The sequence below is a fragment of the Homo sapiens genome, chromosome 11 (assembly GCF_000001405.40).
Source record: "Homo sapiens chromosome 11, GRCh38.p14 Primary Assembly".
NCBI lineage: Eukaryota > Metazoa > Chordata > Mammalia > Primates > Hominidae > Homo > Homo sapiens.
This window is the reverse complement of record NC_000011.10, coordinates 6,346,580-6,373,931: the sequence shown is the minus strand read 5'-3', so window position 1 is coordinate 6,373,931 and position 27,352 is coordinate 6,346,580. Positions and strand designations below refer to the sequence as shown.

Genomic DNA, 27,352 nt, shown 5'->3' with positions numbered 1-27,352 from the left:
GCTCACTGCAACCTCTACCACCCAGGCTCAAGCCATCCTCCCTCCTCAGCCTCCCATGTAGCTGGGATTACAGGCATGCGCCACCATGCCCAGATAATTTTTGTGTTTTTTTTTATAGAAACAGGGCTTCACCACATTGCCCAGGCTGGTCTTGAACTTCTGAGTTCAAATGATCTGCCTGCCTTGGCCTCCTAAGGTGCTGGGATTACAGATGTGAGCTACCACACCCAGCTGCAATTCACTTTTGACCAAGAGAAAAAACTTAAGAGGAATCCAGTTGTCCATAAAGTGACAAGGAATATTTGCTGCATATTTGAGGATCTTTTGATCAACTTAATACAGAACCTGGCATCTTTACGTCTCCTTAGGGCCAGATGATCATAGCCACTCCCAGCCTCAGATACTTTTAATATGTTGATGAGCTTCTGAGCTCAGACATCTCTAACTTAACTATGTCCAAAATGGAGCTTTTGATCTTTCATTCTGATTTTGACACTGCTCCAGTCTTTCCTATCTAGGGATGGGCACCTCAGCATACCGGACACTTGGAGTCATTAAAACAATTTTTTAAAATTTTTAAATTCTTTTTCTTTAAACAATTTTTTTTTTTTTTTTAAAGATAGGGTCTTGCTGTCTTTCCCAGGCTGGTCTCAAACTCCTGGGCACAAGGGATCCACCTGCCTCAGCCTCCTGTGTAGCTAGGACTACAGGCATACACCACTGTGCCCAGCTCTTGGAGTCATCTTTGACACTTCATCTCCCTTTACCTCTACATTTTATTAATTATCAAGTCATGTCTATTTCTCCTCTAAAACCCAACCTAAGTCTTACCTCTGATCACCTCTGTAGCTACTGTCTTAGCCTAAGTTACTACCATCTCTATCTTAGATTGCTACAAGTTATCCTAACTGGTTTTCCCTGATTTCACCATTGCCCCCAAGTCGATTTCCCATAGCCCACTCCTCTCTTTTGAAATTGTATATCAGATTGTTTCATTCCCCTGATGAAAATTAATTAATTCAACAAATTAGTATAGAGATCTACAGTGTGCCAGGCACTGTTCAGGTATTGGGGGATACATTAGTGATGGGGATACATCGATGTTTTGAAACTAAGCATTCAAAAATCCCTGCTGTCATAGAGTTTACAAAAAAGCAAATAGTGCCATGAAGGAAAATTAAGAATGAAAGGGGTTGGGGAGAGCTGGGGTGGGTGTGCAATTTGAAGCAGGGTGATTAGGGGATGTTTCACTAAGAAGACTATATTTGGGTGGCCAGGTGCGGTGGCTCACACCTGTAATCCCAGCACTTTGAGAGGCCGATGCCGGTGGATCATGAGGTCAGGAGTTCAAGACCAGCTTGGCCAAGATGGCGAAACCCCCTCTCTACTAAAAATACAAAAAATTAGCCGGGTAAGGTGGTGGGTGCCTGTAATCCCAGCTACTTGGGAGGCTGAGGCAGAGAATTTCTTCAACCCAGGAGGCGGAGGTTGCAGTGAGCCGAGATCACACCACTATACTCCAGCCTAGGTGACAGAGTGAGACTCCATCTAAAAAAAAAAAAGACTATATTTGAGCAAAGACTTGAAGGAGATGAGAAAGTAAGCTTTGTGGATATCTGGGAGAAAATATTCCAGACAGAAGGAACAACATGTGCAAGGTGCTGTGGTGGGAACACATCTGGGCAGTGCTGAGGAAGAACAAGGAAATGACAGTGGCTGGAGCAGAGTGGGGAATGGAAGGAGTAGTAAGAGCTGAAGTCAGACAGGCAACGAGAGACTAAATTATGAAGGGCTTTGAAGGCCATTGCTGGGACTGATCTGAAGGCCTTGAGCAGAAAGGTGGCCCCGCCTACCCCACCAACCCCAGCTTCTCTGGTTCCTCCCTTGGTAACGGAATGCATGCTTATTGCTGTTGTTTGAATGCACTCAAACATTTCCCTTTTATGGCCTTCACACTGGCTTTTACCTCTCCTTGGAATCCTCTTCCCCCCAGATCTTTATCCCTTGCCTCGCCCCTTCACATTACTTACGTCTCTGCTCAATGGATCTTCTCTGACCACAGATTTGAAAATAGCACGCTACCTCCCTTCTATGTTGACTAGGGTCCTACTAGGAAAACAGGAACCACACTGCACATTTTCATAAGATAAAGTTTAATACAAACAACTGGCTACAAGGGTGATTGAAAAGGCAGAGACTCCAACCAGAAGAGTGAGGTGACCCAGAGACCAGCAACAGCAAGAAGTTGCTACCACCCCTAGGTTGGAGGTTTCACTCACGTCCGTGTGAAAAGACCACCAAACAGGCTTTGTGTGAGCAACAAGGCTGTTTATTTCACCTGGGTGCAGGCGGGCTGAGTCTGAAGAGAGAGTCAGCAAAGGGAGATAGGGGTGGGGCCGTTTTATAGGATTTGGGTAGGTAAAGGAAAATTACAGTCAAAGGGGGTTGTTCTCTGGTGGGCAGGGGTGGGGGTCACAAGGTGCTCAGTGGGGGAGCTTTTGAGCCAGGATGACCCAGGAGAAGGAATTTCACAAGGTAATGTCGTCAGTTAAGGCAAGGACCGGCCATTTTCACTTCTTTTGTGGTGATATGTCCTCAGTTAAGGCAGGAACTGGCCATCTGGATGCGTACGTGCAGGTCACAGGGGATATGATGGCTTAGCTTTGGCTCAGCATCCTGACATTCCTGTCTTCTTATATTAATAAGAAAAATAAAACATAATAGTGTTGAAGTGTTGGGGCAGCGAAAATTTTGGGGGGTGGTATGGAGAGAGAATGGGCGATATTTCTCAGGGCTGCTTCAAGCGGGATTAGGGGTGGCGTGGGAACCTCGAGTGGGAGAGATTAAGCTGAAGGAAGATTTTGTGGTAAGGGGTGATATTGTGGGGTTGTTAGAAGAAACATTTGTTGTATAGAATTGTTGGTGATGGCCTGGATACGGTTTTGTATGAATTGAAAAACTAAACGGAATAAGACAAGGAGAAAAACAGGAATTAAAGGACTAAGAATTGGGAGGACCTAGAACATCTAACTAGAGAGTGCCTTTTCAGCATAGCCCTGCCAGCAAAGATTATTTATTTACTTTAAGAGGGAGTTAAGAGTGGCGGTTTGGGGATAGCACCAGGAGATATCAGCTGTGATGGCTTGGAGAAACAGTGTAAACCGGCGGTGTAAACAAGAGCAGGGCATTTATGAGTGGTTGAGAACGGTAAATAGGAGTATGACTAGACAGAAGATAGTAGGGATGACAAGTTTTTTGGGGTGCAGTCCAAGTTGGTCTGGTGTCTGGAATGAGACTGGGGCCTAATAAAAAGGAGCGTCTATAGAGGAGTTCAAATGGGCTGTATCTTGTAGCATTCCGAGGACAGGCCTGAATTCTGAGAAGGGCAAGTGGTAAAAGTATTGTCCAGTCCTTTTTAAGTTGGTGACTGAGCTTGGTGAGGTGAGTTTTTAAAAGACCATTAGTTCACTGAATACTAAGAGCCTGAGAAACTGCTTGGGTGCTTTGACTAATAAAGGCCGGTCTGTTATTGGACTGTATAGAGGTGGGAAGGTCAAACTGAGGAATTATGTCTGACAGAAGGGAAGAAATGACCATGGTGGCCTTCCTAGACCCTGTGGGAAAGGCTTCTACCTATCCAGTGAAAGTGTCTACCTAGACCAAGAGGTATTTTAATTTCCTGACTCGGGGCATGTTGAGTAAAGCCAATTTGCCAGTCCTGGGCGGGGCAAATCCTCAAGCGTGATGTGTAGGGAAGGGAGGGGGCCTGAATAATCCCTGACGAGTAGTAGAATAGCAGATGGCACTGAGAAGTTATTTCCTTAAGGATAGATTTCCACGATGGAAAGGAAATGAGAGGTTCTAAGAGGCGGGCTGGTGGCTTGTTCTATAGCATAGCCTGCCTTTGCTGGTGTGTGGCGATTAGGCCTGGTGGAACTGCCATCACTAAACCAAGTGTGTTCAGGGTGAGAAACAGGAAAGAAGGAAATGGGGTGAATGTCAGGTGGATCAGAGAGATACAGTCATGAGGGTCAGGTGTGGTATCAGGAATAATGTGGGAGGCCAGATTGAAGTCCGGGCCAGGAACAATGGTAATTGTGGGAGACTCAACAAAGAGTGAGTACAGCTGAAGGAGCTGGGGATCAGAAAGTATATGTGTCAGGTGTGAGGAAAAAATAGATTTTGGAAGTTATGAGAACTGTAGAGAGTGAGTTGAGCATTGTTTGTGATTTTAAGGGCCTCTAAAAGTATTAGGGTGGTGGTGGCCACCGCACGCAGACTTGAGGGCTAGGCAAAACAGTAAGGTCAAGTTGTTTGGATAAAAAGGCTACAGGGCACAGTCCTGGTCCTTGTGTAAGAATTCTGACTGCACAGCCTTGCACTTTGGCTGTGGGTAATGAAAAGGGTTGGGATGAGTCAGAGACAGGTAGGGTAGGGGCAGTCTTTAAGCTGTCTTCAAGGAACAGAAAGAGGAGTGGGGAAAGGATTTAGGATCTACGGGGTCAGCTAGGTTTCTTTTTGTGAGTTTATATAATGGTTTTGTTAGGATGGCAAAACCAGGTATCTATAGTCGAAAGTATCTACCCATGCTTAGGAAGGAAAGGAGTTTTGTTTTGTGAAGGTGTTGGGGTTTGAGAGATCAGTCGGACATGATCGGCAGAGACAGCACGTGTGTTTTTATGAGAATTATGCCGAGATAGGTAACAGATGAGGAAGAAATTTGGGCTTGACTGAAGTAATGGGAGCTGTCTGTGAAGACTTGCGGCAGTACAGTCCAGGTAATTTGCTGAGCCTGGTGGGTGTCAGGGTCAGTCCAGGTGAAAGCGAAGAGAGGCTGGGATGAAGGGTGAAAAGGAATAGTAAAGAAAGCATGTTTGAGACCCAGAACAGAATAATGGGTTGCGGAGGGAGGCATTGAGGATAGGAGAGTATATGGGTTTGGCACCACAGGGTGGATAGGCAAAACAATTTGGTTGATAAGGCGCAGATCCTGAACTAACCTGTAAGGCTTGTCTGGTTTTAGGACAGGTAAAATTGGGGAATTGTAAGGGGAGTTTATAGGCTTTAAAAGGCCATGCTGTAGCAGGCGAGTGATAACAGACTTTGATCTTTTTAAAGCATGCTGTGGGATGGGATACTGGCATTGAACGGGGTAAGAGTGATTAGGTTTTAATGAGATGGTAAGGGGTGCATGATCGGTCGCGAAGGAGGAAGTAGAGGTGTCTTATACTTGTGGATTAAGGTGGGGAGATATAAGGGGAGGATGTGAAGGAGGCTTTGAACTGGGGGAAAAGCAGCAATGAGGTGTGGCTATAGCCCAGGAATAGTCAGGGAAACAGATAATTTAGTTAAAATATCTTGGCTTAATAAGGGAGCTGGGCAGGTGGGGATAACTAAAAAGGAGTGCTTAAAAGAGTGTTGTCTAAGTTGGCACCAGAGTTGGGGAGTTTTAAGAGGTTTAGAAGCCTGGCCGTCAATACCCACAACAGTTATGGAGGCAAGGGAAACAGGCCCTTGAAAAGAAGGTAATGTGGAGTGGGTAGCCTCTGTACTGATTAAGAAGGGGATGGACTTCCCTTCCACTGTGAGAGTTACCCAGAGCGTCTGTGATGGTCCAGGAAGCTTCCGAGGTGATTGGGCAGCGTCAGTCTTCAGCCACTAAGCGAAGAAGATCTGGGAAGGAGTCAGAGAGCCTTGGGCCAGAGTTCCAGGGGCTCTGGGAGTGGCTGCCAGGTGAGTTGGACAGTCCGATTTCCAGTGGGGTCCTGCACAGATAGGACATGGCTTAGGAGGAATCCTGGGCTGTGGGCATTCCTTGGCCTGGTGGCCAGATTTCTGGCACTTGTAGCGAGCTCCTGGGGGACATGGGCCTGGAGGAACGCCTGGCCACTGCGGTTCAGGCGTTTGGAAGTTCTTGTGTGCTGGAGATGTGGCTGGGGTTTCTCTCACAGTGGAGGCAAGGAATTGCAACTCAGAAATATGTTGCTACTTGGCTGCCTCTACTCTATTATTGTACACCTGGAAGGCGAGGTTAATTAGATCCTGTTGTGGGGTTTGAGGGCCGGAATTTAATTTTTGGAGCTTTATTTAATGTCGGGAGCAGATTGGGTAATAAAATAAAATGTATATTGAGAATAAGATGGCCTTTTGACCTTTCAGGGTCTAGGGCTGTAGAGCGTCTCAGGGTTGCTGCCGAACAGGCCATGAACTGGGCGGGGTTTTTCATATTTGATGAAGAGCCTAAACGCTAACTGATTTTGGGAGAGGTTGGATAGAGAAAAAGGAGCATTAACCTTGACTATGCTTTTAGCTCTAGCCACCTTTTTAAGAGAAATTGCTGGGCAGGTGGGGGAGGGCTAGTCTCGGAACGAAACTGTAAGCTGGACCGGGTGTGAGGAGGGGAAGTGATAAAAGGATTATAGGGTGGGGGAGCAGAGGCTGAGGAAGAGCTGGGACTTAGCTCGGCTTGGCAAGGAGCAGCCTGGGGAGGAGGTCAGATGGGTCTGTAGAAAAGGCAGATTAGAAAGACTCAGTGATGCTTGGGGTTGGGACTGAGGGGACACGCGGGAGGGAAAGAAGGAAGATTTGGGACAAGTTGCATTGGGAACAGAGACTGGGGGGGACCGGTGTGTAAAAGAATGCCTGGACGTCAGGCACCTCAGACTGCCTATTTTACGACAATAATTATTTAGATCTTGTAGGTTGGAAAAATCAAAAGCGCTGTTTTCTGGCTATTTGGAACCACTGTCGAGTTTGTATTGGGGTCAGGCAGGATTATAGAAGAAAATAAGGTGTTTAGGTTTTAGGTCAGGTGTGAATTGAAGAGGTTTTAAGTTCTTGAGAACACAGGCTAAGGGAGTAGAGGGAAGAATGGAGGGTGGAAGATTGCCCATAGTGAAGGAGGCAAGCCCAGAGAAAAGAGAGAGTAGAGACACGGAGAGAAGGGGCGGGGGGTTCTTGCCCCCTAGAAAAGCAGAGAAGGGGTAGAGACATGGAGAGAAGGGGTCAGGGGTTTCTTGTCCCCCAGAAAAGCAGTACTTGCCACTAAGGGTGAAGGACCAAGGCAGGCATCCCCACGTGGTCAGACACCTCTGAAATGTGGGTGAATAATCAGGCAGGCATCCCCGTGTGATTAAACACCAAGGGAAGACTGTCTTCCTGAGTCCGTGACCAGCGCCGGAGTTTTGGGTTCACGGATAAAATGTGTCTCCTTTGTCTCTAACATAAAGGGAAAGGTACTGAAATTAAGGGAGAGATTGAAGTGTGGTGCCAAGATTGAAAGGAGAAAGAGGTTGAGGGATAGTAAGAGAGGTTGGAGAAGAGAGTAAAAAAAAGGCCACTTACCCGATTTAAAATTGGTGAGTTGTTCCTCGGGCCGGTCGGTCTGAGGACCCAAGGTCGTAGGTGGATCTTTCTCATGGAGCAAAGTGCAGGAGGACAGGGGATTGATCTCCCAAGGGAGGTCCCCCGATCCGAGTCACGGCACCAAAATTTCACTCCCGTCCGTGTGAAGAGCCCACCAAACAGGCTTTGTGTGAGCAACAAGGCTGTTTATTTCACCTGGGTGCAGGCGGGCTGAGTCTGAAGAGAGAGTCAGCAAAGGGAGATAGGGGTGGGGTCATTTTATAGGATTTGGGTAGGTAAAGGAAAATTATAGTCAAAGGGGGTTGTTCTCTGGCGGGCAGGGGTGGGGGTCACAAGGTGCTCAGTGGGGGAGCTTTTGAGCCAGGATGGGCCAGGAAAATGAATTTCACAAGGTAATGTCATCAGTTAAGGCAAGGACCAGCCATTTTCACTTCTTTTGTGGTTGAATGTCCTCAGTTAAGGCAGGAACCAGCCATCTGGATGTGTATGTGCAGGTCACAGGGGATATGATGGCTTAGCTTTGGCTCAGAGGCCTGACAGGAGGGACAGAGAAGAGACTTTTCCCAGGAAGAAGGCCACTGTGTAGAAGGTAGAACCACAGCAGGCCTATTCAGCAATGGAGGCTTAAATGAGATACAGTCACAGCAGAGGCAGAGGAAAAGGTGGTGAAAAATCCTGGCAGGCTGCTGGATTCTGACTGCCAGTCTCCTACCAGTTCATCTGAATGGTCAAAGTCCACCAGCTAACGGGAGCCTGGGAAATGCAGCCTGCAGAGACCAGTTCCCCAGCAATTCAGAGCCAAGCAGGAGGAGGTCTGGAAGGAAACCTGAGGAACGGGTCCTCACCCTGTCCTTACCCAGCTTTATTTTTCTTTAGGTCACTTATCCCTACTCCTATTCTATTCTATTTTGTTCTACTCTAATATGCTCTGTTTAGTTCTTTTCTGTTCTAGTGTTTCTATTCTACTCTCTTCCATTCTATTTTACTGTTTCTATTCATTTGTTCTCTTCTCTTCTATTATTTACTTGTTTGCTGTCTGTTTCTTCCACTAGTAATGAACTGCACAAAAGTAGAGACTCTTCACCAGTGTAACCCAAGTACCTAGAACAGTGGTTGGAATATTACAGGTGCCAAATGAATATTTGTTGAGTGAATGAATGAATAAACTTGCTTACTGTTAAGATTCAAGAGGGCAGGAAACATCTACTGTGTTCATTATGATACGCCCAGTGTCTACCACAGTACCTGGTCAGCGTGTGTATTGGTTTCCTAGAGCTGTTGTAAAAAATTACCACAAACTTGGTGGCATAAGGCAACATAAATTTATTCTCATTGTTCTGGAGGCTAGAGGTTTGATGTCAAGATGTCAGCAGGGCCACACTCCCTCTGAAGGCTTGAAGGGAGAATCTGCTCTTTCTGCTTCTGACATTTCCGGGCATTCCTTGGCTTATGGCTGCATCACTGCAATCTCTGCCTCTGTCTTCAGTGGCCTTCTCTTGCATTTGTTTCTTTTAAGGACATTTGCCATTGGATTTAAGGCCCATCAGATAATCAAGGATCCTGAGATCCTTAACTTGATTACATCTTTAAAGTTCTGTTTTCCAAATAAGGTCACATTCACGGGTTCTGGGACATGGGCATAACTTTTGGAGTGGGGGAAGCAACTATTTAACCTACTACAGAACTTACAAAACACTTGTTGGCTGACTGGCTAGACTGACTAGTCTCCCTGGGTCTACTTTTGCCCCTGTCCAATCCGTCTTCCACAATGCCACTAACCTGACCTTTCTAATTAGAAAAAGCCTTCTTTTCTTTTTCTTTTTCTTTTTTTTGGAATCATAACTTCCTACTTGGAAATTTGAAAAAACTTCTGTGTTTTTCCATCCTAGGGGAAAAAAATTCATACTCCTTAGCTCAGCTACAAGATCTTCCATCTGTTGTTCTCTGCTTCCCTGTTCAAGTCTCTCTTCTCCCTCTCTCCTCACTTTTCACTTTGTGCTCCAACCACATGGCTGACCAGGGTCCTCTGTATATTTGTGTAGTATATGCAGTTTCTTCTTCCTCAAATAGCTTCCTATCCTTTGACCCTTTGGCAAACTCCTATTCATCCTTCAAGTCTCAACCAAAGTCCCTCTTCTATGCTGCCGTCCCTGCACACTGACCCCACACCCCTATCTAGAATCCTAATATGTAGATGCTCATTTGATGTTTGTTTGAATAAGTAAATAAACCCAAGTGGGATGGGGGCTGAGAAGGGTAGGACCTGGATTAGGCTTGGGTCTGGAAGAAAAGGAAAATGGGAAAAGTCACACTTGGTATCTAGGACAGGTGCCAGGGACTGGTGGGATGCTGGGACTGGAAGCATTTGGCCTTTGGGTAATACGGCCTGAGATAGATGTGATGGGAGGCCTGCCTATGGGAGGTGGTGAGATGGCACAGGGGTGTGTGGTCTGGTGTTAGAGGGCCAGCAGATGCGAGGCCCAGGTGGGCTGCCATGCTATAGAATCTAGTCTTCTTGGGCCACAGTTCCCGGGATGGGATTAGTTAACTCAACAGAGACCACCTTTGTTATGAGACCTGGGCACAGCTGTGGCCATGTCTGAAGAGGGACCCGGGAGCACAGGCAAAACAAAATGGAAAGCCCCAGTGGCCAGAGGCCTCTCTGGAGACCAGTGGGAAGGGGACGATAAACAGAGGAAACAGATGGGACCTGTCCAGCTCTTGGGGATCAAAGAGCCCCCACAAACACCACTCCTTATGTCCTCTGAGTAATGGTCTTTAGTAACCTAGGCACAGAGGGTCCTAAAAGAGAGGACTATAGGTCACTGAAAGGACCTGGTCGTGGGGGTCTGAGAAAGGCCCTGGTCTTTGGGGGTCAAGAGCTATAGGTCCTGGTCATTGAATGACCTGATTGTGAAGCCAAGCCTAAATGAGGTGCCCTCACCACCATGGAGCTAGAATGAGGGGTTCTGGTCAGTAGAGAGCCTTAGAAAGAGGCCCTGGTCATTGGATGCATGACCTAGGGGCCCTGGTCACTGAGGCTCTGGTCAGTGGGGGGTGGGACTGGGGGCTGCACAAGGGGCCCTGATTCCTGAGGAGACTGACCTAGAGGCCATGGTAACTAAAGGACTTGAGCAGGGGGCTCTGGTGACTGAAGCCTGAATGAGGGGCTCTGGTCAGTGGGGGCTTAAGGGAAAGGCCACTTCTGTTATTCCTGAGCTGAGGTGGGGAGAGCTCAGTGCTCCTTGTCAGCCTAGCATGCTCCTGTGCCCTCCCAACCTGACCAGCATGGCTCCCAATAGCCAGCAGATGGCACTGTGGCCTTGCCTGATGAGAAGTGGGCAGCCAGCAGGCAGTCCTTGGGGTGAAGAAGCTCAGCGGAGAGACAGGCTCAGGTGCTGCCTCCAGCAGCTTTGGGAGCTGCAAGAATTTGGGAGGGGGTGTGGTAAGACAGACCTTGATCAAACTCTCTGGGGTGATGGCCCAAGGCAGACGCGCTGGAAGCAGAGAATGCTGTGCCGTGGGTCAGGAGGCCTCAGTGTCTTCCATACCTCAGAAGGCAGGACGGGCTTGGTCAATAGCTCTGGAGTTCAGAACAAACTACTGCAAATGTGGCCCAACATACTCAGATACACTTTCACTCCAAGACTAATGCAGCTGTCCCTGTCACAAGATCCAAGACAAACTAAGACGTACCCTGAACATTAAGCTGTCATTTCCCGGCACTCTCAGTATTCCAGAAGGAATTAAGAGTCTGTACCCTGGCACAGTCAGAACTTGTCACAGCCCAGAACTCAATACCTCACTCACGGGGCGTGGCCACATTCCAGAACCATGTCACAGTCCAGGGCCTTGTCATACCCCAGATATAGACACAGAGTGGGGCTCTGGCATCCCTCAAATAATGGCACGTCCCAGGAACCTCCATGTGCAGAACAACCCAGGGCCTGTCCTGTCAATCTTTATATACTGGCATTTCCCAGGGGCTTGTCACAGCCCCTGCTTGGCCCTGAGCTGTGATAGTATCTGGTGTGCAACAGCTACGATGTGACAGGGCCCTGGGATATGGCAGTATTCAGTATACAACAGAGTCCTGAAATGTCCCTGTATTGGAGGATTGACAGGGCCCTGGGCTGTGACTTTATCTACAATGTGCAGCAACTGGTTCCAAAACTCACACCTGTGGGTTTGGCCATCATCAACAAGTATTAGTGATCAGAGTGCATAGCAATTATGGTGACAAGCTCCATGGGGGATACAGAGTGTACAAAGCAGTGTTTCTCAAACTATCCATGGTGACAAGACCAATTTTATTTTAAACATTTGCATTTCAAATCCACTGCAGACTGACACTTTTGTAAAATGCAATTAAATTGCTAGAAAAACAAAAATTTGGCCGGGCGTGGTGGCTCATGCCTGTAATCCCAGCACTTCGGGAGGCCGAGGTGGGCAGATAACCTGAGGTCAGGAGTTTGAGACCAGTCTGGCCAACATGGTGAAACCCTGTGTCTACTAACAATACAAACATTAGCTGGGCGTGGTGGCAGGCACCGGTAATCCCAGCTACTTAGGAGGCTGAGGCAGGAGAATTGCTTCAACCCGGGAGGCGGAGGTTGCAGTGAGCCGAGATCGTGCCATTGCACTCCAGCCTAGGGGACAAGAGTAAGACTTCGTCTCAAAAAGAAAAAAGAAAAAAAAGAAAAAATTTAAAAAGACACAAAATATGAACCCAGTTTGTAAAAATAAACTTTTTATTTTGGAATAATTTTAGATTTGCAGAAAAGTTGCGAAGAGAGTAGACAGTTGCTGTGTACCCTTCATTCAATTTCCCCTAATGTTAATATCTTGGATAACTGTGGTACATTTATCGAAACTAATAAATTAGCTGTGGCATGGTACTATTCACTAAACTACAGACTCTCTTCAGATTTCAGCAGTTTTTCCACTAATGTCCTTTTTCTGTTTCAGAATCTAATTCAGGATACCATATGGCGTTAGGTGTACTTTTTGTTATTAAATTAAATGATAAATAATGATTCTGTCAAATTGCTATAGACATTTCTAAATGCTTACTCTCCATTTCTGAACTTATCTTCTCATGGGAACAAATAATTTGTAGGTGGATACTGGCCTGTAGGCCACAATTTTGAGTAGCGCTGGTATAAAATGGCTAGCTGTCATATATATGGTGGTGTGGCAGGGAAGTGAGGGGTGGGAAGCAACTGGCATTTACAACTAGAGTACAGGGGTACAGAGGAAGCAAAGGTGGTGGCCATGTGGGTGGGTCTTGGCCATGGAACACAGTAATGGAAATGGAGAGCTTTTGGAATGCAGTCCCGAAAGATACCTAGTAAGACAGTGATCCTGCAAGTGTGCATTGTTTTGAAGTTTTGGTGTAAATATCTGCAACAACCAGCAGGTCCTGATGACTATTTATGAGCTCATTGAGCTATAAAGGTGGGTAGAGAACTTCGAATTTTTTTTTTCTTTTTTTTTTTTTTTTTTTTAGAGAGGAGAAGAAAAACCACACACAGGGATCAGACGCCTCCAGCTGAAGAAGGTGAGGCATAGAGATCTCTCACCACTAGGGAACATATCTGAGTCAGTCAGCACCAAATATGTTAGCAGTGGCAGGTATCTGAGTTACTGGCAGCGAATCTGTATGCATCTGCAGCAACCTCAATTCTTGCCTCCTTAGAAGAAAGAATTCAGCCAGGCGTGGTGGCTCATGCCTGTAATCCCAGCACTTTGGGAGGCCGAGTCGGGTGGGTCACCTGAAGTTGGGGGTTCGAGACCAGCCTGACCAACATGGAGACGCCCTCTCTCTACTAAAAATACAAAAATTAGCTGGGCGTGGTGGTGCATGTCTATAATCCCAGCTACTCAGGAGGCTGAGGCAAGAGAATCGCTTGAACCCAGGAGGCAGAGGTTGCAGTAAGTGGAGACTGTGCCATTGCACTCCAGTATGGGCAACAAGAGTGAAACTCTGTCTCAAAAAAAAAAAAAAAAAAAAAAAGAAGAAGAAAGAATTCAACTGAGAGGCATAAGGCAGAAAAAAGGACCAAGGCAAATTTCAGAGCAGCAGTGGAAGTTTATTAAAAAGCTTTAGAATAGTAAGGAAAGAAAAGAAGGAAAGTACACTTGGAAGAGGGCCAAGTGGGTGACATGAGAAACCAAGTGCCGAGAACTTAGAATTTGAAAAGACAAATTTGGCTCTGGAGATTCCACAGTCTGACCTAGGCCCCTGCCAGTCCAAGGACTCTGGTGAGTCAACGTCTTTTAGACTTATGTCTAAGATTGTATGACATGAGATCAAGAAGCACAAAGGTTCAGGGATAGCAAACTTCCCCCGAGGAGGGAGGAAAGGAACAGAACAAGGTGGATGCGTTCATGCTTCAGGGCTTCATCCTGCCCACATTATGATCTGGGACCCCAGCAAGTGGGGAATGTAAACACTCTGGCCTTAGTCTCCCAGTGATAGTACAGTGGAATAAATAAAGTAACCCCAAGGAGGATTCTGAGGATGAACTGAGAGTTATATGCAAGTGTTGGCATGATGTCTGGCATGAAGTAGGAGCTCCCCTTTTCTGCTCAGGATAGTCCTTGCAGGGTGATCAGTTTTCTCATCTTTACCTGCTTCTTTTCCTCCAGGTTCCATTGGTTCCATAAAGCTGTAATCAAGGTCCTAGTAGGAGGTGCCTGGCCTAGGTCTCATCATGTTCTGGATTCTGCCAGCCTCCTTCTCTTTGTGTTAGTGTCCACTCATCCTTCAGGTGTCAGATGGAAGCCTCCAGTGGGTTTCTCCAACACTTCCCTCCCATCACCTCTAAGATGCAGTTTGCTGCTAAACACTTTCTGTAGTCTTATCATTATTGCTATTTGATTATGAGTATAGTAATGGCAGAAACCATACCTGTCTTATTCTCCACTCTATTTCCAGCACCCAGCCAGTGTCTGTCCCAAAGTCAACATTCAGTTGGATGTTGGATAAATAATTGGAAGTAAAGTATGTGATTTTTTTCTTTAAATTATTTTGACTATACTTAACAGGGAGTAATAAACAATGCACAGTCAGGTGTCAAACACTCTTTTATTGGAGCTGAATAGGTTGCCTGGAAAAAAGATTGACCTGATATATATGAATTCAATATACCATAAAAATGGAATAAAAAATCTATAGGGGACAGGCGCGGTGGCTCACGCCTGTAATCCCAATGCTTTGGGAGGCCAAGGTGGGAGTATCGCTTGAGTCTACGAATTTGAGATCAGCCTGCGCAACACAGGGAGATCCCCATCTCTACAAAAAAAAAAAAAAAAAAAAAAAGATTAGCTGGGTGTGGGGGTGCACACTTGTGGTCCCAGCTACATGGGAGGATTGCTTCAGCCCGAGGAGGCTGAGGCTGCAATGAATGGTGTTTGTGCCACTGCTCTCTACCCTGGGTGACAGAGCAAGACCCTGTCAAAAAAAAAAAAAAAAATCACTGGAAAAAGAATAAATTTTTTTTTGAAATGGAGTTTCGCTCTTGTTGCCCAGGCTGGAGTGCCATGGCGTGACCTCGGCTCACCACAACCTCTGCCTCCTGGGTTCAAGCGATTCTCCTGCCTCAGCCTTTGGAATAGCTGGGATTATAGGTGCCTGCCACCATGCCTGGCTAATTTTTTGTATTTTTAATAGAGACTGGGTTTCACCATGTTGGCTAGGCTCGTCTCGAATTCCTGACCTCAGGTGATCTGCCTGCCTCAGCCTCCCAAAGTGCTGGGATTACAGGTGTGAACCACCACGCCCAGCCAAGAAATTTATTCAATACAAAGTTCTGGGAAAACTAGTTACCATCAGATCAGTCTAGATCCTCTTCTCACATTGTATACCGAGTACTTTCCAGATGAACTAAATAACTTTTTAAAAAAATTCCCAGAAACACCAAAATGTTTATCAAATCTCTGGAAGGAAGTAATGTTTCCATCTTAGAAGCAGTAGAAGTGATCACAAAGGAAAAGATTAACTGACTCGGCTATAGAAGTATTTTAAACTTTAGCATCTCAAAAAATAAAAGTTAAGCAAAATAAAAAAGGCAAATAAACTAGGGAAATATTTGCAGTTAGCTGCACCAAGAACTCCCATAAACTGACTTTAAAAGAATACACTGAGGCACTGATAGGCAGGCAAAATACATGATCAGATGATTTTCCAGAAGAAGAAAGACATAAAATGGTGCTTAATCTTCATAATTAAAGAACTCCAGGAAGGAGAGGCCAGTGGTGGCCAAAGAGTCAGGGAGAATTTCACAAGGGAGGTAGAGTGTGGGCTTGTTCTTGAAGATAGACTTTAAAGAGATGGAAGGAAGAGATGCTCACATTTGTGTGGCATTCCCTGCCTACTGGCCTCTCCTGTGTCCCCTGACTTTACAGAGCTTCTGAGGCCTAGAACTGGATTCTAAATGTCTCTTGGGTCACCATAATCTGTCAGTAATGGAAACAACTTTACTCATGGAAGCATACCACTGTGGAACTTAGGAAAGTCTGGCACAGGGGAGTTCTGGAAGGAGAATTCTGCGGCAGGGGGAGCAGGGCAAGGGCTCTGAAATTCCCACGCCTATCCCCACCTCTTTCCTCAGCAGTCTGAGAGTTTTCTGACTTCAAAACTAACTGCTTGCCCAGCCTTGTCCCCAACTCCTAATTGGAGTTGGGCTGTTCCTTTTTTACAGCTTTCCCAGGAATGTGAACAAAACTTTAATTCGTCTGAACACAGTTTGAACTGGCATTTTCATTTTAGGGTCTTTTCTTTATACTGTATTACTTTGAATCCATATCTTTAAAAAATTAAACAAGCAATACATATTCAATGAAGAAAGTACAGATATAGATGGCATTTTATGAAGTTTTTTCTGCAGAACAGAGAGGAAGAGAACATATAAAATATAAATAGCTCACCTACGTCAAATTTCCAAAGCACAGGTTTTGGATCACACAATAAGGAGACCCTGGCACTGGGCTTTCTGGCGCCTCTCCACTAGGTTCCAGGCCTGGCTAGATCAGGACATCTCACTGGGAGGCCACATTGGAGAGATGGCGTGACATCATTATTGCCTCAGGGCCAAAAGCCCCGATTCATACTTGCGACTCTCTCCTGCCAGGCCTCCCACTCAGCTCCCTTTCTGGTCTAAAGATTGTGACTCATCCTCAGCCGTGCACGGCGGCCATTCTCAATCTTTTCTCCACCACCCACACACAATGGATGACAACCATATTCATACGCACTCTCAAAGGTTAAACCCAATTTTATCGAAACCCTGGAAGAATTTTGGAAGGAAATCAAAGCCAATGGCAAAAATAACTATTACATTTCAATGCAATACGATGACTTGAAAATGACATGACAATTGGTGTGTTAGCAATCTTCCTACCACTGCTGGGTGCACGTGTAGCAAAGGTTTTGGAGAAGCAATTCCTGAGAGCTGGCTGTGATGCCACTCCCTCTTCTCCCCAGTTAGTGATGGGGACATTATTATAGGGGTAACTTAGTGTGTCACTGTTAAGCCTCATGCATGTATTTTTAATAGCAGTTATTGGGGCTTATTGTGTATCTGTTTACATGTCTGTTTTCACAAATAAACTTTTCTGTTAATTACTGTATCTTTAGCATCCAGCACAGTGCCTAACATTAATCAAGAGGTAATGATTAAACAAATGAGTGAACAAATCCACTTTGCCGTGAAGCCTGTATGCCCCTTGCTCTGACTCGAAGAAATTCTGCCTTTCCTGTCTTCCAATCTCTGGCCAGCCCACCAGCAGCACTCTGCAACATTTTATAAACACAGTTTGCCTTCTTGTTTGACCTGTTGGTGCTAGTCCAATATGTCACCCCTGACACCTTGGCCCTGTTTTCTGGACGTCTTTACTCAACACTTCTGTTTTTTTCCAGTCCTCAAGAGTCTTTGAGATATTCTCAAGAACTGGAGACTGAGAGGTTTCTTTTAACTCTCCCCTCCCTAGCAGGACCTCTGGGTTGGCTCTCCACATCGATTTTGAATATTTGACAGTAGATTTATCCCTTATCCACTTATTTTATAGCACCCAGAGCATGTAGCGCAGGCCTAAACAAATATTAAGTCCATCTCCTTTGTAGTATATATCACATTTTCCTTCTTTCTTTTTTTTTTTTGAGACGGTGTCTTGCTCGATAGCCCAGGCTGGAGTGCAGTGGCACGATCTCGGCTCACCACAACCTCCGTCTCCCGGGTTCGAGCAATTCTCCTGTCTCAGCCTCCTGAGTAGCTCGGACTACAGGCACGTGCCACCACGACCAGCTAATTTTTTTTTTTTTGTATTTTTACTAGAGATGGGGTTTCACCTTGTTGGTCAGGCTGGTCTCTAATTCCTGACCTCAGGTGATCCATCTGCCTTGGCCTCCCAAAGTGCTGGGATTACAGGCATAAGCCACCACGCCCGGCTATGTATCACATTTTCTATTAAATAAATAATCATACAGTTTGTCTAACAGCTGTGTCTCCTAATTGGAGGTGAGTTTCACAAGGACATGAATTTTATATATATATATGAATTATATATATATAAATTATATATATATGAATTATATATATAATTCATATATATATATGAATTATATATATAAATTATATATATATGAATTATATATATAAATTATATATATATGAATTATATATAAATTATATATATATGAATTATATATATATAAATTATATATATAAATTATATATATATATAAATTATATATATATATATATTTTTTTTTTTTTGAGACAGAGTCTCACTCTGTTGCCCAGGCTTGAGTGCAGTGGCACGATCTCGGCTCACTGCAACCTCTGCTTCCTGGGTTCAAGCAATTCTCTGCCTCAGCCTCCTGAGTAACTGGGATTACAGGCGTCCGCCACCATGCCCAGCTAATTTTTTGTATTTTTAGTAGAGACGGGGTTTCACCATCTTAGCCAGGCTGGTCTTGAACTCCTGACCCCGTGAGCTACCCACCTTGGCCTCCCAAAGTGATGAATTCTATTTTATACACTGTTGTTTCCCCAATACCTTGCACAAGGCTCAATACGCAGGGGAGCTCAATAAGGATGTGTGGTAAGAATGAATGAATGAATGAATGAATGAATGAATAATGAATGCATTGACTGAATGGCTGACTTGTTATGCTTTTGATTAATGGGATGGTTTTGGTTTTTCTTCTGAAAAAAGGCCTTAATGCTGAAGGTTCTGTTTGTAGATGGAAAAACAGGCCTTAGGGGCAGCTGGCAAACAAGAACAGTGGTTAATGTTTAAAGGAACTCCATGGGCAGCTCAAATGCAGGGAGCCCAGCATGAGTTAAAACAGAGGAAAAAATGGCTCTGGGAAGAGGGGGAACAGGAATAGGGATGGTGAATCACAATTTCCTATATCTGGCCACCAAGTTTTCCTGTAATTTGTATTTACTTTAGACCCTGTACTAAGTTCCCAGAGGATTTGGGGTAAAAGTGGAAGCTGGTTTGTTTACGTTACACTGTTCATGTGGATTAGTGTGTGGCAGAAACATTTTGGAGGGTTATTGCTAATCATCCCTGATGTATGTGGGCTGGGGCTGGAGTGGCCAAAGCCGGCCTTTTGGGGGACAACCCTGGGATTGCACCAATTAGCCCAGCAGGGCCCACTCCTCCTCATGAGACCTGGGCGCAGCTGTGGCCCCTCTCTGGACAAAGGGCACAGGGATGGAGCAGAAGGCAGAGCCCTGGAGATAAGAGGCTTCTCAGGGGAGCAGAGAGAGGGAAGCGGAAGACAGTTGGGTGGCCTGAGGGGACCTGCCCAGTTCTTGTTATGCTCACTAGGCCTTAATTAAAGACCTTTGGTCATGCAGCTCTTAGTGATGGTCAGGGTCCCTGAGGAATGGGGCTGATCAAGACTGTTAAAGGTCTAAACACATTAAAGATTATGTTTGGTTTCTACATGTTATTCAAAACAAAATGGTATAGGCCATAAAATAAATACAAAGAAAGTTAATAAAATGTATCCCACGATGGTCATACTGATGGCCTTTTGCAAATATTGAATTCTTTAAAAATTTGTTTTCCTGTTTTGTGGTTTCTGCTTTCATAATGCCATAGCTCTTTCTTATCAGCTTATTGAAGAATCCATCCCTGATGAGGGGTCTGAGGGAGGGTTCCTGTCAATGAAACTTGAATGAAAACTAGAGAAATCTGAGTCCTCAGCTCACGGAGAAGCAGAGTGAGGACCCCAATCATTGATGGGCTCAGTGAGGACCCTGGTTACTGAGGGGCCTGAGTGAGGGTCCCTGGGAGGCCTGTGAAGGAGACTGTGGTCACTGAGGGGGCTGAGCTGAGGCACTGTTGTTGAGGTGTCTCAGAGAAGGTCCTTAGTTACTGAAAACTGGGGTGAGGGTAGGCTCTGGTCCATGACGAGCCTAAACATGATGCTCTGGTCATTGGGGACCTGTGGAAAAATCCCTGATCACTGAGGGGTCTGAGTCAAGGGCCCTACTTACTAAGGGCCTGGGTGGAGACATCTGGTCACCAAAGCCTGAAGGAGAGGGTCCTGTCACAAATTCTTACAGGTGATCAGAGGTTTCTGAGTGAGAGGCTCTATTACTGAGAGGGACAAGGAGGATGCTTGTGTCACTGACTTAGGGTGACCAGCTCCTGATGAAACTGAGGGTGGGGTCCCTGGCTCTCAGAGGGTTGAAGAAAGGGCTCTGGACACTGAGACATGACTGAGGGTATTCGGTCAACGGGAAGTATAAATGAGGGGCTTTCCCTAGCAAGCATGGGCTCACATAGGTGGGACAAACTGCCCAATGTGGGATCTGGTAGCTGAGATTTCACGGCAGGGTTAAACCACAGTGGTCCTTAATTCTTCCTCCCTCTTCCTCCTTCGGCCTGACCTGCAGGTCTTCTAGATACCAGTAGATGGCACTGCAACCTCACATGTGGAGGGGGCAGCTGGCTTAGGTCCCAAGGTGGGTCCCAAGTGCAAGCAGGTGAGAAGTGAGAGAGGAAATTAGTTGCCCTTCTGACCAGATTCCCTGGAGTCAGGGGAGAATCAGGCTTGACAGCTTAGATCCCCTAAGCACAGCCACCTAGAGGCCAAATCCTGTTATCACAGACCAACTAGTTCCAAATGCACTGTGACTTTTTATGTTGGATTCATTCATACGTTTTTTTTTCCAGCAAGTGTACATCCAATATATGATAGAATTTGAGTTAGGTGCTGAGGATACAAGGGTGATTAAGCAAGGTCACTATTTTTAGAAGCTCATGGTGTCAGAGGTGAAAATTAATATAAATAAAATAATTACAATAAATGTGATAAGGATTGAAGAACAAGGATATGCACAATGCTTTGGAGGCCCAGGGAAGGTCTGAATATACAGTTTAAGGAGGTTGTGAAAGTGTGAGGAGGAAGAGGTGACATTGAAACAGGGTCTCAAAGCATGAACAGGGATTTTGTTTGTGAGGCACACATGAGGGAAGGTATCTGGGGCAGGAGCAAATGTGTGAGTAAGGATGTGGGGTGTGTGAGAGAGCCTGGGGTGTCAAGGGATCTCCATGCGGTCCAAAACATCTAGGAAATATGGAACACTATAGGGGTGGGCTGGGAGGATGGTGAGGAGGAGGAATGACATATAGATATGGGGGAAGATCATTAAGAATCTTATACCCATATTTAATTTAAGGCTTTGGTCGTGGTTCTTAAACGGATAAAAAATCAGGAGAATTTTCTACAGGCAGATGAAATATTCTGGTTTCTGTTTAATTACTTTGGTAGCCAAGTTGTAATTAGAGGAGGGATGGACTGCAGGCAGAGACCCAACTAGGCAACCAAGTTAGAATTTATGAGAGTTAAATAAAGAAGGATGTTGCAGAAAAGAAAACAGATCTGAGGGGTGTTTAGGAGGGAGGATGAGCAGGATTTTGTGTCAAAATAGACATGAAAAGTAAGGGAGAACGAGGAATGTAGAAAAATAATAAATGTTAACATTTATTAAACATTTAACATCTGTAATACTTTATCTCAATAATCATAACAGCACTCTCTAAGGTAGGAAATATTACCCCTATTTTCGGATGAGGCAACTGGAGCTCACAGAGGCTACATGATTTGTCTAAGACCACACAGCTAGTTCTGTCCCCTGCCTGGTTTTCCTATGTTAAACCTTTTCTCTCTCCAGATTCCCCTCCAGAGTGAGATTTAGGAAATCCTTCCTTAAAATCCTCCAGCGGCTCCCTATTGTGTACTTCACAGTTGCATCAACCTTTCTCCACCTCATTCTAAAGATCAGGCAGGTAGGACTGCTGGCAACTCCCCAAAGTGCTAACCTTCCTTGCCTGTGTGCACTTTTCTATGTGGTACACTGCTGACAACTCCCCAAAGTGCTAACCTTTCTCGTCTGTGTGCCCTTGTATATGTGCTGCAGTGCTGACAACTCCCCAAAGGGCTAATCTTTCTTGCCTTGTGCACTTGTGTGTGTGCTGCCATGCTGATGCACATTCCAGCTGACACCTTCACACATGCTGGCTCCTTCTGCCTCATCCGCACCTCCCTCCTACCCACTGACCTGATTAACTTATACTTGTCTTTTGAATCTTAACTTAAATGTCGTTTCCTCAGGGTAGTTTTTTATGACTCACCCTCAAGTCCATGAGGTTAGGTCTATGTATAATGTACTGTCACAGCATTTAGTACTTTTCTTTCATAGATCACAATTATAATGAAGTCACTATTTTCATAATTACTAGCTTAACGTCAGTTTCTTCCACTGGATTATTTTCATTTTTTGAGGTGATGGAGGGGCTACTTGAGGGGTATTCATAGCAGCTTTGTTGTAGCAACAAAAATACCATGAATTAGTTACATAAAATGTGATTAAATATTCCTTATAATGAAATATTATGCAGCCATTAAAATGAATGAGAGCTCATGCCACCCTCCCTCAATTTCCATCCAGGCCCTGTTGACAGAAGAGAAGACTCAAGCCTGATTTGCAGATAGCTCTGCATAGGACACAGCTACCAGACAGAAATGGCCAGAGGGAAGGGAAGCCCAACTTTCATCCTTCCGGGAATAACACCTTTCCTGGGGACAGGTTTACACTGATTTCTGGGTGGTGTCTGGTGATTTTGTCAGAGTGGGAAGAGCTAATGCAAGGCATATATTGGAGTTAATCACTTTTGTGAGCAACTGAGCTCTATCTGCTGGATCTTATGAGAATAAGTGTAAGATGTTCCATTTATTTATTTATTTAGACAAGGTCCTCCTGCTCTGTCGCCTAGGCCGGAGTGCAGTGACTATAGCTCACTGTAATTTTGAATTACCAGGCTTAAGTGATCTTCCCACTTAAGCCTCCCAAAGTCCTGGGATTATAGGTACAGCCACCATGCCTGGCCTGCATTTGTGTATCTCCTGGCCTTACCCCTCCTTAGTCAAGGGTTGCCTCTTGGGTGTTAGCTGCCTCACAGTTTGAGGTTGTGTATGCAGGAGTGTGCCCTAGGCAAAAAGTGAAGTTGAGTCAGGCTGCTGACAGATTCCCTCTACAGGAGGCTGGTTGCCATCCTGCTTCCTGATCAACTGGCTGGAGAAAAAGATAAGCCAAGAAGATGCGGGTTGGGACCAAAGGATGCATCTGATACATCAATCAAGTCTTCTTCCCTAAACTTCCCAGTTTTTGCCCAATGGCTTCATGAATAAATTGGCAATGAGATTCGGAATGTTAACTAGGTTTTGGCTCATAATAGAATTCTCTTGGCTGTGTCTTATTTGGCTACTGCCACAGCCAAATATGCAAATTGCCAATTAACAGTGACAAACTCTTAATCCATATTATGAGACCATAATTTAATGGGATCAGCCAGCTAATGCTACCAGCTAGATTGTTTTTAGGCATGTTTCATTACATAGGTGACAGACATTTGTCCTCATTGGAATAGACACTTATTCTGAATTTGGGTGTTACTTCTCCATTTGTCACACTCCTGCCAGCACTGACATCTGCGAACTTACTGAAAGTCTTATGTATTGTCATGGAGTCATATATACTGTTATATCTTGTTATCAGTTATTTAATGCTGCATAACAAGCCATCCCAAAACATAGTGGCTTAAAACAGTAACCATATATTATTGCCCATGAATCTGTGGGTCACCATGTTGATCAGCTGCAGGTTGACTGGTCTAGGATGGCCTCACTCACATGTCTGGTGGTTGGCTGGCTGATGGCTGGGTGACATGGGAGACTGGGACATGTGTCTCATCAAGCATCAAGTTACCCTGGTGTTATTTACATGGCAGGGTCAGGTTTCCAAAAGAGAGACCAGAAGTTTGAAGCATACATTCAGAAATAGTATGATGACACTTCTGCTGCATTCTATTGGCCAAAGCAAACCATAAGGCCAGTCTAGATTCAGTGTGTGAGGAAACAGACTTTCTTGATGGAAGGATTGAAAAGTCACATTTCAAAAAGTATGGATACAGGGAGGCAGGGGAAGCATAGGGTCTTTTTTTTTTTTTTTTTGAGACTGAGTCTTGCTCTGTTGCCCAGGTTGGAGTGCAGTGGAGCGATCTCAGCTCACTGCAAGCTCCGCCTCCCGGGTTCTCACCATTCTCCTGCCTCAGCCTCCAGCGTAGCTGGGACTACAGGTGCTCGCCACCACGCCTGGCTATTTTTTTTTTGTATTTTTAGTAGAGATGGGGTTTCACTGTGTTAGCCAGGAATGTCTGGATCTCCTGACCTTTTTTTGTATTTTTAGTAGAGATGGGGTTTCACTGTGTTAGCCAGGAATGTCTGGATCTCCTGACCTTCTGATCCGCCCACCTCAGCCTCCCAAAGTGCTGGGATTACAGGCGTGAGCCACAGCACCCGGCCAGGGTCCATTTTTACAGTTAATGTATCACAGCTCTGTCAAGAAATTTTTCATAGAAAAAGAAGTAAGGCAAAGAACCAATGTCCATGCCATTCATTGATTTCATTATGGGACCTACAGTGGATTGAACTGTGTTCTTCAAAAAGATATGTTGAAGTCCTAACTCCGGTACCTTTGAAGAGGACCTTATTTAAAAATAGGGTCTTTGCATGTGTAATTAAATTAAGATAAGGTCAGACTGGATTAGGGAGGACCCTAAACTCAATGATTGGTGTCTCTATAAGGAGAGAAAGATTTGAAAACTCTTGGATACAGAGGAAAGAAGGACCTGTGAAAATGAAGACAGAGATTGAAGTGGTGCAGTTACACGCCAAGGAATGACAAGGATTGCTGGGAGCTACCAGAGGCAAAGAATGATCCTCTCCAGAGCCTTCTGAGAGTGCCCTGCTGAGACCTTGGGCTTCTAGCTTCTAGAACCATAAGATAACAAATGAATATGTTTCTGTTGTTTTAAATCACTAATTTTGTGGCACTTTCTTATAGCAGCTCTAGAAAGCTAATATAGACCCTATCAGACAGAAGTTGCTGGCATTATAGAGAAATGAATGTTCAGCTTTGACCCTAGCTGGGGGACAATTGCTTGTGAGTTAGGCATCTTGTCTTGCTGTTGGTGATTTATGCTCTCTGCCAGATTCATATATTCATGTCTCCAAGTCAGAACACATAGGCCCAGGGATTAAGAGTTGGAGATGGGAGCATCACCACTCATAATTATACTTCAATAACCATTCTCAAAATGCTGTCTTTCTCTAACCAAGATTCTTTTACTACCAAAGTATTTAGCATCTTAGTGTTCAAAGTAAAACAAAAACAAAACAAAACAACAAAACCAAAAACAAAGTGAGAGATATTTTCACTAGGTGCCTGTAATGATGATCCCATTACATTGGAAATTGGAAACTGGTCATGTCACATTTCTCATGCCATGTGCAGAAACGGAAAAAAGATGTCCTGCTGTTATCTAGGATAATTAATCTTTTTAAAAAATTAATTTTTAAGTTGACTAATATAAATGGTATAGATTTTTTAGTGTACATGTTTTGATATATGAATACACTGTAGAATGGTTAAATTGAGCCAATTAACATATCAATTACCTCAAATACTTACACATTTTTTCTGTGGTGAGAAAGCATAATCTACTCTTAGCAATTTTCAAATGTATAATACATTGTTATTAACTATGGTCATCGTATTGTACAGTAAATCTTCTGAGCTGATTCTTCCTGTCTAACTGGAGGAAACTTTTGTGCCTTTTGATCAACGTCTCCCCAATCTCCCTACTCGCCCAGCACCCCAACCCCCAGCCCCAGCTACTGGTAACTACTTTTTTTTTTTTTTTTTTTTTTTTTTTGTTGAAACGGAGTCTGGCTCCGTCGCCCAGGCTGGAGTGCAGTGGCGCGATCTCGGCTCACTGCAAGCTCCGCCTCCCGGGTTCATGCCATTCTCCTGCCTCAGCCTCCCGAGTAGCTGGGACTACAGGCGCCCGCCACCACGACCGGCTAATTTTTTGTATTTTTAGTAGAGGCGGGGTTTCACTGTGTTAGCCAGGATGGTCTGGATCTCCTGACCTCGTGATCCGCCCACCTCGGCCTCTCAAAGTGCTGGGATTACAGGCGTGAGCCACCGCGCCTGGCCGCAGCTACTGGTAACTTCTATTCTACTCTCTGCTTCTATAAGTTTGACTTTTTAAAGATTCCACATATTTCTGAAATCATGCAATATTTGTCCTTCTGTGTCTGGCTTGTTTTACTTCACATAATGTTTTCCAGGTTTCTCCATATTGTCACAAATGAAAGGATTTCCTTCTTTATAAGGGCTGAATATATCCCACATTTTCTTTATCCATTAGGATGGTTAACCTTGACTACGACTGGAGAAAAGTGCTTTTCTTCGCTCTCAATGGTTCATTTCACATGGAGGGAGCTCTTTTAGAGTAATAATACTGGCCTCCCTCTCCAGAAGAGAAGTCAATGACTTAGCTAAATGATACATTTGGGAAGAACAAGCTTCAGCTTTCCCAGTTGTCTCTTTGGGATCCAGGTTGACCTCAAAAGCATGCACTTCAAAGGACATTCTAAAGGGGCTTGCCCCATTGGTAGACCTCATTTTTCCAGTATGAACTATAGCTGTGTAGGTAAACCTCTTTTTATTTCTGGGATTCACTATTAGAAAGTTATTTTATCCAATGATATAAGCCATCTTTCTAATATTAACTTTGTCAGTCATAGAAATGATTATTGGTTTCTACCTTTTAACTGGTGTTGAACTCAGGAGAGGGAAAGATGTGCCGTTTATTGAGGCACATCTTCAACACACAACTTCAACATCTGATTCACTGGACCAGGAGCCTTAAAAAATAAACAGGGAGTGAAATTTGGAGACCCAACTATTATGTTAAGAGGCTTTTGGTGAAGCCAGTTTTGGGTTTGGACTTGAGCAAGCATACATTTGTGATTGCAGTGGTTTTGTGGAAGTTTATATTAAGCCAGAAGTCTCTTTTAATGGATGTAACTGGTTTTTATCAGTTGTAACTGGGGAGGAAGTTTCAGGTTTTCATTGCTGGCCAGGGGGAGTTTTTTTTTTTTTTTTTTTTTTTGATGGAGTCTCACTCTGTCGCCCAGGCTGGAGGGCAGTGGCACGATCTCGGCTCACTGCAACCTCCACCTCCTGGGTTCAAGCAGTTCTCCTGCCTCAGCCTCCCAAGTAGCTGGGACTACACGTGTGCACCATCACACCTAATTTTTGTATTTTTAATAGAGACGGGGTTTCACCGTATTGGTCAGGTTGGTCTCGAACTCCTGATCTCAGGTGATCCACCCTCCTTGGCCTCCCAAAGTGTTGGGATTACAGGCATGACTCCCCATGCCCGGGCCCAGGTGGGACTTTCACCTTGATGGGGCCCCACAAGTCTCGGGTAAGGATCTGTTACCCACAGGTTACCTTATCCACAGGTAAGGATCTGTTTTTAATAGAGGCAGGGCTCTGGGCTGACCTTAGGGGAACAGTAGATGGGTCTTGCCTGCCTTCAGCCAAAA

At 44.9% G+C, this 27,352-nt stretch overlaps 1 long non-coding RNA gene across 1 annotated transcript, besides 1 other annotated feature; it reads right to left on the bottom strand.

Moving 5' to 3' along the window:
* Positions 1-8,664: 8,664 nt before the first annotated feature.
* LOC124902623 (uncharacterized) lies at positions 8,665-11,137 on the bottom strand. The gene is made up of 2 exons (XR_007062571.1): positions 10,822-11,137; positions 8,665-9,645 (listed from the first exon to the last, which is right to left on the bottom strand). It is a non-coding gene; the product is annotated as an uncharacterized LOC124902623 (long non-coding RNA).
* Positions 10,559-10,853: a silencer, noted in NCBI's record as "tiled region #11421; K562 Repressive DNase unmatched - State 12:CtcfO". NCBI's record gives its function as "represses a minimal TATA promoter and a strong SV40 promoter by Sharpr-MPRA in K562 cells {active_cell/tissue: K562}" and the evidence as "EXISTENCE:reporter gene assay evidence [ECO:0000049][PMID:27701403]".
* Positions 11,138-27,352: the final 16,215 nt, after the last annotated feature.